The sequence below is a fragment of the Homo sapiens genome, chromosome 11, assembly GCF_000001405.40.
Source record: "Homo sapiens chromosome 11, GRCh38.p14 Primary Assembly".
Classification (NCBI taxonomy): Eukaryota; Metazoa; Chordata; class Mammalia; order Primates; family Hominidae; genus Homo; species Homo sapiens.
In genome coordinates this window covers 8964668-8976842 of record NC_000011.10, presented here as the reverse complement: position 1 = coordinate 8976842, position 12175 = coordinate 8964668, and the positions used below count along the sequence as shown (strand labels likewise).

Here is a 12175-nt window from a genome sequence, read left to right as displayed (position 1 = left end):
AGGCTGATGCAGGAGAATGGCATGAACTCGGGAGGTGGAGCTTGCAGTGAGCCGCGATCACGCCACTGCACTCCAGCCTGGACAACAGAGCGAGACTCTGTCTCAAAAAAATATATATATATATTGTTACCTTCATTTTTAAATATTTATTGCACTTGCATAGTGGGGGAGAACTTGGATTAACAGAAATTCACATTAAGATGATACTGATGTTTTAATTGATTATACATTGCATGTAGAAATATTAAGGACTCTGTGTATAGGAGATGTCATTTGTAAGGCAGGGACATGTATACAATGTGTGGCACATCCAGAAAAACACAATGGTAGTGTGATTATTGTCTTCAGAGTTGTCATGTGGAAGGTGTTTTTTTTTTTTTTCTGGTACCAGAAGGCAAGCATTTCTAATAGATGGGGAGGTAGCAGAGAGGTATATCTTGATTCAATTGGAGGAAAGCATTTACTGTAAACCAGGGACTATGCTATCCCCTGCAAAGAAGGTAGTATTGTTCAGTTTTACAGAAAAGAAACCTAAGGCTCAGAATAGTATAAAGATACAACTATTGAGCACAATTATTATTTTAACAGTATCTTCATGACATTTAATATTGAGCACATCCCAGCACTTTCGGAGTCCAAGGTGGGAGGATCACTTGAAGCCAGGAGTTCGAGACCAGCCTGGGAAACATAATGAGACCCTATCTTTACAAAAAAATTAAAAATTAGCTGGGCACAGTGGTGCATGCCTGTAGTCCCAGCTACTTCAGAGGCTAAGGCAGGGGGATCCCTTGAGCCCAGGAGCTCAGAGGCTGCAGTGAGCTATGATCACACCACTGCACCCCAGCCTGGGCACAATTTCTCACGCCAAATTCTTTGACTCTAGAACATCTTTATTAAAATGGCATTGTCAATCAAATGTAGCTTCTTGTTGACTCACACATTATGGCTTGTTTGAAGGGTTGCAGGCTGCTGTTCTCAAGAGCAGAGACAAACTAGTCTGTGTGTTATTGCTTAGACTCGTCTGTCAGCTGCTGCTTCAAACTTCTATTATCAATGCATCCTGAGCTATAATACAGTGTTGTCCTATTTCATACTCACCTGTCTGGCCAGTGACCTACTGGAGGCTGTTTCTCACATGGTGTCAAGTACAAGTACATGGACATTGTGACAACTGTTTTCTCAGAGACCTTTTTATTGAAGGGTTGTGGTATGTTCCTTTTTTTTTTTGAGATGGGTTCTCACTTTACCATCCAGACTGGAGTGCAGTGGTGTGATCTCGGCTCACTGCAACTGCCGACTCCTGGGTTCAAGCGATTCTCTTGCCTCAGCCTCCCAAGTAGCTGGGACTACATATGCCCGCCACCACACCTGGCTAATTTTTGTATTTTTAGTAGAGACAGGGTTTCACCATGTTGGCCAGGCTGGTCTCCAACTCCTTACCTCAAGTGATCCTCCTGCCTCAGCCTCCCAAAGTGCTGAGATTACAGGCGTGAGCCACCGCCTGACCAGTATGTTCTGAAAGACTCACGCCACCAGGTGCCTGACCAGATGGACAAAAAGCTGGGTCTTTACCTGCTTTTAGATAGTGACTTGTCCAAAGGTTCTAGCAGCCTGATGGCTATAGGCCTTATTCTTTCTTTCTAGTACCTTTTTTACATTCTTTTCTGGACCTATGCCTCTTCCAGCAAATCCCAGCCACCATAATCAGAGAGGGGACTTCAATCCTGGTATTGCTTTTACTGGAGCCAGAGTAATCTCCCAGTCTGTAATTAATACAGAAAATCTAACTCTCCAGGGACCCCAGATACTCCGATGTTGTTGACATACACAAACACTGCCAGTGCCCTTAAACAAGAGAAGTGGGTTGGGAAGAGGGAGTATGGTTATTCTAGTAGAGGTACTTGTGTTTGCCAAGGGATAGATTGGGGGGCAGAGGATATGGGGACATAGAATCTCCTGTACTCTAAACCTGCATAACAGGAATTTAACTCTGCTTTCATCAGTTAGCAAACTAATCAGGGGGTTCTGTTATGAAATGCTGGACTCCTTGAAAACATTGGATAACCTTGTGCTTAAGGGTGGGTGCTATAGTGATAAGTGATTTTCATCCTGCTTGTTCTGGAAATGGGTAAGGACAGAGAATTTGAATGGTGCTGGAGCTGACCATAATGAGGAGGCAATTACCCTGTTTTGTAAGTCCTGCAGAAACTGAGCTCATAAGAGTTTCTCTATGGTATACGGGAACAATTGGAGAATTGAAAGTATATATCTATATATAGATCTATATATACCTATCTATATCTATATATAGATAAGATATATTTTGGAGACGGAGTCTTGCTCTGTTGCCCAAGCTGGAGTGCAGTGGCACAATCTCGGCTCACTGCGACCTCCGCCTCCTGGATTCAAGTGATTCTCGTGCCTCTGCCTCCTGAGTAGCTGGGACTACAGGCACATGCCACCATGCCTGGCATATGTATATATATTTGTATTTTTAGTAGAGATAGGGTTTCACCATGTTGGCCAGGCTGGTCTCGAACTCCTGACCTCAAGTGATGCACCGGCCTCAGCTTCTCAAGGTGCTGGGATTACAGGCGTGAGCCTGGCCTAAAAGTATATTGAAGTGAACAGGTTTCATAAAGACCAGTTGGAGCACAAGGGTGTAAGAAGGGGACCTGTTCTAAGGCCTGAGGAATGGCAGTGAAGAAGAGGATCCAGCTGTGGATGCCCCCGGAAGAGTGGAATTTTAGAAATGGTAAGATTCATTTTCAGCAGGTAAGGGATGAGGGAAAGGACAGGAATGGAAAAGAGGGACAATTAGAAGAAGAAATGCAGTGGGAAACTCAGAATCAGCCTAGGTTGTTTCCACCACTGGGATTCAGATCTGTCTGTGTATACCAGAAGCCTAGTGGGTGGACCCATCAGGAATTTGTGTGTTTGAGGGACTAAGCAGCATTCTGGGAAAAGTCAACCAGTCAGACATGTCTGACCCCTTAACAAAACTCTTGACAACTTTTTAAAAAACAGTGGATTGGCCCGGTGTGGTGGCTCATGCCTGTAATCCCAGCACTTTAGAAGGCTGAGGTGGGTGGATCACTTGAGGCCAGGAATTCAAGACAAGCCTGGCCAACATGGAGAAACCTCATCTCTACTTACAAATACAAAAATTAGCCAGTTGTAGTGGCGCATGCCTGTGGTCCCAGCTACTCGGGAGGCTGAGGTGGGAGGATCGCTTGAACCCGGGAGGCAGAGGTTGCAGTGAGCTGAGGTCATGCTACTGCACTCCAGCCTGGGTGACAGAGTAAGACTCTGTCTCAAAAACAACAAAAAAGAACGGTGGACTAGAAACATGGCTTCCTCCTGAAATGCCATTAAAATGACAGTAAAGGAATGTTAAATGATTAAGGACAAAGAATATGAGACAAAAGATGGCAGCATCCAGGCAATGTCAACAAAATCTTTGAATCCGGAAAGCAAAAAACAAGGAACAAACTGAGTAGACCAGAGAAAGCAGAAGTCTGGGGCAGGGGCTGGTGGAGTGTTACTAGCAATAAGCAAGCATGTTTGTACCACAGAACCCCAGAAAAGGCTTAGGAATTGGAGGCATCAGTTATCTGAAAAGCAAGAGGTAGTAGGTAGAGGGCTAAAAACAAGATGATTACTTGAAAGACTATGAAGTCCTGAGATCCTCGCCCCTTATAAACTCATTCATTCATTCATTCATTTGTTCATTCATTATCTCCTGGGGAAGATGAACTAGTTGAAGCCACCAACAACAACTGGGAGCTGAGGGGAGACATCCTACTGAATATAGGGATTTAAAACTCAGCATTCTGTTTGTTTTTTTGAGACAGGGTCTCACTCTGTTGCCCAGGCTGGAGTACAGTGGTGTGATCATGGCTTGCTGCTGCCTCAACCTCCTGGGCTCAAGTGATTCTCCACCTCAGTCTCTTGAGTAGCTGGGACTACAGGCATGAACCACCAAACCTGGGTAATTTTTGTATTTTGTGTAGAGATGGGATTTCACCATGTTGCCTGGGCTGGTCTTGAACTCCTGGACTCAAGTGATCTGCCCACCTTGGCCTCCCAGAGTGCTGGGATTACAGGCGTGAGCCACTGTGCCCAGCCTAAAGCTCAGCATTCTAAAGAGTCAGAAACCTTTCCCTGGCTTGGATCCCAGCAGTCTGAAACTTGGCTGCTACCTTAGGATACTGCTTTCACTACAGCCCTCTCAAGGTGATTTTTTTCTCCCACAGTCCTCCTATTACTGGTCCTGGAGATGGGGTAGATGATGTTCTTGCTCCTCATTACTACTTCTAGACACGTCTCCTATCTTCCCTTAAAACTCTCAGCTTTGAGTTCCATACCATCAAATAATATCTCTTCTCTTCATTGCTATCATCTACAAAATCTACAAACCCCTGGGTCATCCCCTCTCATTTCTCAGTAAGTTTAGTTCACTGCTCATTTCATTTCCCGCAGCACTACTCCTGATTTAATTCTTAGCAATTTTTAATCTTTCAACACCCTGACTATAGGTTCTTTGAAGAGTAGTTTTCCACTGACCTTGTTCTCTGCTATTCTCATCCATTCACTCTCAGTCATACCTTAGATCTCTCTCGTTATTACCAAAAACTGTAACCCCTCCATAATCTATCTCATTATCTGACCACCACAGTCTGTCTTCCAGACATCTAGTAACTTAACTCCAACACTCCTTTCACTACCACCTTTTCATTGTCCCTAATCTCCAAGTTCCTTCTGTTCCTGTCATAATCAACTTAAATCCCAGGATCACTCATTATAATCATGCAACTTGCATGTACTTTTAACTTAGTCTACCCCTTTTTGTCATTTTCAGTTTGCAAAATCACAACTTTAAAGCCAGCTCTTTGCCTTTGTACCTACTTCTGTGCAGCAACTATGCTGTTTAGTCTTACTTTAAATTCATGTCCATAACCTTCAGGCCTTAATGCTGCCTGATAATCATATTTCCCTACTCTATATACCTTCCCATCCTCCTAGATCAGGAGTCAGCCAACTTTTTCTGTAAAGGGCCAGATAAATATTTTTGGCATAGCAGGTCATAGTCTCTTTTGCAATTATTCAGCTTTGTCACTGTAGCATGAAAGTAGCCAGAGGCAATATGTAAATAAATGAAATTTGAATTGCATTTATTTGTTACATGCTATGATGTAATATCATCTTAAATTTTTTTCCCAACCGTTTAAAAGTAAAAAAGTATCCTTAGCTTGTGGATTGCACCAAAATAGGATTTGACCAAAGGCTATAGTTTGCTGTGCTGTGTCCTAAATTATTTCACACCTTCTCTTTTCTTCCAACACTTCCTCCCCATTTTCACTCTCAGATGATGACCTTGTTTTCTACTTCATTCATCCACCACATCCACCCTCTTACCAGCATCTATATGCATATGTTCAGCTTTCCCTTCTGTTGCTGTGTTACCTAGCGCAAGATCTAAATACTATATAACCCACTGTTTATCTCCCTCACTAGAATCTAGTCCCAGGAGACAGTTTTGTCTGATGTATACCCAGAACCTGGAACAGTGTTTGGCACATAGTAAGTCCTCAACCAATACCTGAATGAATGAGTACTGTCTATCAGACTAGCATGCAGGCAAAAGTTTAGAGAATTTTACTCCAGGAGAACTTATCTCCGTTTTTTTTTTTTTTTTTTTGAGACGGAGTCTTGCTCTGTCGCCCAGGCTGGAGTGCAGTGGCAATCTCCGCCTCCCGAGTTCAAATGATTCTCCTGCCTCAGCCTCCCGAGTAGCTGGGATTACAGGCGCGTGCCACCATGCCTGACTTATTTTTTGTATTCTTAGAAGAGATGAGGTTTCACCATGTTAGCCAGGATGGTCTCAATCTCCCGACCTCATGATCTGCCCGCCTCAGCCTCCCAAAGTGCTGGGATTACAGGCATGAGCCACCGCACTGGGCCGGAACTTAACCTCTCTAAGAGAAAAGACCTACCTGTCCTGACAGTTGGAGATCTCTTTGATTATCCTAAGTTGTACTTTTTCAAATTTCTTTGAAGAAACACCCACAATAAAAAAAAAAAACTCCCATTTTATGGGATCAAACCAGTACATAATATGTATATATGATATGTGTAAGAAACCAAAGTTTCATAAAATAATTCTCTTTCTATGTAGATGTATTCTGAGGTGGTGTTTTCTATTCTGTTCTGTCATTTGGGGGAAATAAAACTGATTATATTGATTTCACAAACTACTAATGGGTTTGCGACCAGAAGTTTGAAAAATACTGCAGTATGTCCTACCAATTACAAGTCCTAAGTATGTACACAGAACTTTTTTTTTTTTTGAGACAGAGTTTTGGTCTGTTGCCTAGGCTGGAGAGCTCACTGCAACCTCTGCCTCCCGGGTTCAAGAGATTCTCAAGCCTCAGCCTCCCAAGTAGCAAGGATTACAGGCGTGCGCCACCAGCCCGGCTAATTTTTGTATTTTTAGTAGAGATGGGGTTTCACCATGTTGGCAAGGCTGGTCTTGAACTCCTGACCTCAAGTGATCTGCCTGCCTTGGCCTTCCAAAGTGCTGGGGTTACAGGTGTGAGCCACCTCACTGGCCAGTGTACACAGAACTTTCTATTGGCTTTCTAGTGCCCCACTCTTACATATGAATGGATGGCCAAGGATCTCTAGACGTTTAAGAAAAGCTTCCAACACAAAACAGAAACAAGCCTTAAAAATTCAACACAGACAATTCAAGAAACAAAAGAAAACATTAGCAATATTCTTAGAGTAATAAGATACTGCATCCACCAAATGGAACAGACTGCTATTTAAAAAGGGGAAGGGGGTGGACAAGAAAGTGCTTCCCTGGAGGACGTTATGCTGAATGGAATAAGCCAGGCACAGACAGACAAAGTCACATGATTCCTAATGTAGAATCTAAAACAAACTCACAGAATCAGAGTAGAATGATGGTTATCAGAGAGTAGGGGGAAGGGGTGGTAGGGGAAACAAGGAGATGTTGGTTAGAGTACGAAGTTTCAGTTAGATAAAGGGAATACATTTTTTGAGATAAAGAGTATAGCATGGTTAATAATAATGTACTGTATATTTCAAAATTGCTGAAGGTAAATGTCAAGTATTCTCACCACAAAGAAGTATTTGTAGTGATGGATATGTTAATTAGCTTGATTTAATCTTTCCACATTGTATACATATAACATCACTTTGTACCCCATAAATATATCCAATTTGTACTTGTCAATTTACAATAAACCTTTAAATTACAAAAATAAAAAATATTTTTAATTAAAAGAGAGGTTGACAAGAAAGTATTCTGGCAAATTTAAAACATAACAGAAATTTTAAAATTCAAAAGAAAAGCTGGAAGGTGGAAATCTTTCAGAAAAACAAAAAGAAGTGGAAAACAGGGTAGAAAGGATAAAATTATTTCAGGACAAAAGCTGTGCAGTAGGCTTAGAGAAAAACTAGTCCACAGTGAAGGAGGATGATGGGCTCCTAGAGAGTTGTCTCCAATTTAAAAAATAAACTGATTGATAGACTACTTGATGTGTTTCAATGTTTTGAAAGGACAGTTTGGAATAAATTGATTATAGACACTTGAATGCTAGGTACTTAAGAAAGTTGCATGGAGAAAGAGGCAATAGTTAACTTCAATCAAAATAAAGGAAATATAATCATATTATGCTAACTGGATCAATTACATACCTTTATAATAGTATAATGAATAGTACTCTACCTATATAGGGTGATATAGATAAACTGAAGGATGGAAGATGGAGAAATACATGTGTGTATTACCAGTCTTCAGAGTATAAACACATATCTTATTTCCTATAGAAAAAGTAAAATAATGGCCCAAACTGAAAAATTAAGAATTAGTAGTATAAGCATGCTATTTAGAAATACGGAGATAAATACCAGAAGAGGTAGCTGGGTGAATAGAGATTATATCTAGGGAGTAGAAACTGAGAGTGTGGAGGGCTGGGACAGGGTCTGCTGTTTTTCATTATAAACCTAGTGATACTATTTGATTTTTAATGTAATGATAAAAATAAAACAATATGATTAATGTGGTATTTCATTTATTTGAAAATCTTAGGAGGGACTGTATTCATTAAGTTTTTTTGTTTTGTTTGTTTGTTTGTTTTGAGACGGAGTTTCGCTATTGTTGCCCAGGCTGGAGTGCAATGGTGCAATCTCAGCTCACTGCAACCTCCGCCTCCTGGGTTCAAGGATTCTTATGCCTCAGCCTCCTGAGTAGCTGGGATTACAGGCGCCTGCCACCACGCCTGGCTAACTTTTTCTATTTTTAGTAGAGATGGGGTTTCACCATGTTGGTCAGGCTGTTCTTGAACTCCTGACCTCAAGTGATCTGACTGCCTCAGCCTCCCAAAGTGCTGGGATTATAGGCATGAGCCACCATGCGCCCAGGCTGGAGTGCAGTGGCATGATCTCGACTCACTACAACCTCCGCCTCCTGAGTTCAAGCGATTCTGGTGCCTCAGCTTCCGGAGTAGCTGGGATTACAGGTGCCTGCCACCACGCCCTGCTAATTTTTGTATTTTTAGTAGAGATGGGGTTTCACCATGTTGGCCAGGCTGTTCTTGAACTCCTGACCTCAAGTGATCTACCTGCCTTGGCCTCCCAAAGTGCTGGGATTACAGGCGTGAGCCACTGCACCTGACCTGTTTTCATTAAATATTCTAAGGTACTGGGAAATCAACAATATTGATTTAGCACCTCTAAAAGGAACTAAAAATTCTCCCCACTTTGGTACTCACCTGCACTGTGGTGTTTTATTTCAGGGAACCCAGTAACATCAGCAGTGGCACCAGCAGCTCTAGAAACATATTCTGTCCCCATAAATTGTTGTTATCATGGTGAACACCAGCAAGTGATGCACTTAGGTGGCTTTACAGGCAGCAGTAGGCTTTACAGTGGGCTGAAAAATCCCACTAAACAGGGCTGAGTAGGAGGGAGCATCCTAGTGGGTGCACACAATAAAGAAGAGGGCTCATAAGACGTTTCCAGAGTATGCTCAGAAATAACTGGAAGGATGTGTGTGTCCCCAGCCATAACCACTGGAGCCACAATACAAGGAAATCACCAATGTTGTGCATAACTCCATTTGTTCTCCTGGACTGGTGTTGCCTAGGCAAGTGCTGGGTAGATCAGAATGGATGGGGTGGAAGAATTAAGGGGCATCCAGAGAGCTATTTGATCACTGGAGGGGAAAGGGCATGGGGGGATGCAGACAGGTGGCAAAACCTGGGTCCAAGATATATTTGTCCCAGATATATAAATTGTCACTTTTCTCCCTCCCCTTCTGACTTGCACACTTACAAAGAAGGTTCCTCTTCCTTTTCTAACCATCCCCCACCAGGGAATTTTTCAGGCCTTACAAAGAAGGGAGAGGACCCAGGCCAGTTGGGAGGGTACACGTGGACCTACATCACTCTTTTTGAGGAAGTGAGTAGGGAAACCTAGTTATAAGGAAGCAAGGAAAATAGAGGGAGAGTGAGTACTAAGGCCAGCGCCGTCTATAAACAGAACAATTCCCGTGTGACCTGAAGGTCTAGGAAGACCCGAGGTGAGAAATCTTCACTCCCCTGCCTACTATGGTGCGCCGGATCCCGCCATTTGCACATCTTTGGGCATCTCAGCATCCCCTCTCATGGTCAGAAAGAAATCAAATGAGGATTCAAGTAGGTGCCTGATACTTTTCTTTTAGACTAACCAGAGGAGCCTCTCCCATTCCCCTTTTCCCTGGTCCCCACAAACATCATATTGTTTTAATCTGTCTCCAGGTATAACAATAATAAGACAAAGTCCTTACCCTCAGAGAGCTCACAATATTTTGGTGGAGGTTTGGGTATAAAGGCAAATGTGAAAACATAATTTTACTATAATGGGGTAAAGTTAAGAAAGAGATCTATGCAAACATAGAAAGGAGTGCACTTAAGTCAGTGAAGGTTTTCTGGCTTAGAAGAACCCTGACCTAAAGGAAAAGTAAGAGTTACCTAGATAAGAGCAGGGCAGAACAAGAGAAACTGATCCCTCCACTTCTATTGAGTCACCTGAAATTATATTCATTTTTTGGCAGACATATACCTCCCCCAAACATTCGGCTCTAGTTGTGCCAGTTCTTCCTTGTCAGCCCTCTTACCTTGGCCTGAGGCTTCATTGTCTCCAGTCAGGCGACTATCTCATAGTCACACTCCACTCACGGCAGCCACATTCTGTATTCCAGAACAGCACTTCCTGACAGCACTATAACATTTTCTAGCAGCCACATTTAAGAGGTCAAAAAACAAGTGAAATATTTTACTAATATATTTTATTTAACCCAACATATCTAAAATATTTAAACCATATTTTTAAATTACTGAAATATTTTACATTTTAAAAATATTGTCTTTGAAATTAAGTGTATATTTTATACAGCACATTTCAATTCAGTCTAGCCACATTTCAAATGCTCAATTGCCACATGTAGCTAGATAGTGGTTATACTATGGAGCTCTAAAATTCCGCCCAGACTGAGTGTGCTTGGTGTTTCTCCATTAAACAGATGAGGCCCATCAGTCTGAGGCACAACTATGTATTTTCTCTAAGTCTCTGTACCCCCAAGGCCTTGAAAACAATTCGGAAGGAAGAGAAGGCCTATGAGGTTTCAGCTACAGCAGGCACTCCCTTTAGATGCCAAGCCTAGAAAACCCTAAACTGATGCCTAACTTGCAGCTGAATCACCTTTCAGCAATCAGATTCAGTGCCTCACCAACACATTTGATCCAGGGAGTCTCCAGTTTGTCCTTTGTCCAGTAGAAGACCCACTACAAAGCCTTGATAATTCATCAAAGTGACAGCACCTTCACTGGGCAGTCTGGTGAGAGGACATCTAGCCCTGCCACCCTGGTTCCTGTTGGGAACAGTATCAGATACGTTGTGTTAGATTCACATGAATCTAAGAATCACATGGGCGAAAAATATTGAGAGCATTCTGTTAAAACATTTCCACAAATTGGGAAAAGACCATCTTTAAAAATCTGTTGGGGCCGGGCGCGGTGGCTCACGCCTATAATCCCAGCAATTTGGGAGGCCGAGGCGGGCGGATCACAAGGTCAGGAGATCGAGACCATCCTGGCTAACACAGTGAGACCCTGTCTGTACTAAAAATACAAAAAAAAAAAAAGAAAAAGAAAAAGAAAAAAAAAATTAGCCGGGCGGCGTGGTGGCGGGCGCCTGTAGTCCCACCTACTAGGGAGGCTGAGGCAGGAGAATGGCGTCAACCCGGGAGGCGGAGGTTGCAGTGAGCCGAGATCGCGCCACTGCACTCCAGCCCGGGGGACAGAACGAGACTCCGTCTCAAAAAAAACAAAAAAATCTGTTTACAGAGGTAAAAACACGGGTATTACATGGAGCATAATTTGAAATCCATTCCCTCATATTCAGCCAAGAACTACAGGCCCAGAGAAGGGAAGTGATTTGCCAAAGGTCATTCAACAAATCCCTAGGGGCTGTGATGATCCGTGTCCTTGCCATTACCTCCCTTGTCTCCACTAACAAAAATATTTCAATGGGAGAATGTGCCGATCTAAGGCACTCCTAAAGTACTTGCTGAGAATGACAGCCCTGGGGAGACAGGTCGGCAGCCCTGAACAGGCACTGCCTTACCCGGGCGTAGTGCCCCAATTCGCCACCTCTTGGAGTCCTAGGCGGAGGATACTACTGGGGCAGTTGTTTCGCCAATTCCACATCTCCCGGAGCCTGGCCTGGCCCAGCCCAGCCCCGTCGCTGTGACCCACTTCCTAGCTGCAGGCTGGACCAAGGGGAGGCACATGGGGAGCTCCACAGGGAGGCCACGCCCACGAGGGCAGCTCACAGAATTAGAAAGCCGACGGGGTGCTGTGGTCAGGAGGCGCGTGGGCGGCAGGTTAGTACTTAAGGTGCAGAGACCACCCCCAACCCTTTGACTGGCGGTGGGCATCCCGGAAAGGCATGGCTCGGCCAATTCCAGCCCCGTTTCCACGCTCAGCACCCGCCCTGCCTGTGCGCGAACGGCTCCGGCCCGCACGGGTCGCCAGAGGCGACTGTGTGACACTCGGAGTTTGCTGGGGTCTCCGTGGGCGGGAGGACTTTCCAGCGCAATGGCGAC

General features: G+C 43.6%; 1 protein-coding gene and 1 long non-coding RNA gene across 2 annotated transcripts in view; one reads left to right on the top strand and one right to left on the bottom strand.

Annotated features, from left to right (window-relative positions):
* Positions 1-559: 559 nt before the first annotated feature.
* Positions 560-12168, bottom strand: TMEM9B-AS1 (TMEM9B antisense RNA 1). The gene is made up of 5 exons (NR_073431.1): positions 11695-12168; positions 10799-10939; positions 10187-10302; positions 8802-9004; positions 560-678 (listed from the first exon to the last, which is right to left on the bottom strand). It is a non-coding gene; the product is annotated as a TMEM9B antisense RNA 1 (long non-coding RNA).
* The window catches only part of TMEM9B (TMEM9 domain family member B), a 17746-nt gene continuing 17466 nt past the window's right edge, over positions 11896-12175 (top strand). Inside the window, exon 1 of the mRNA NM_001286095.2 lies at positions 11896-11953. The gene's annotated coding sequence lies outside the window, so the exon portion shown is untranslated. The remainder of the gene's footprint in view (positions 11954-12175) is intronic.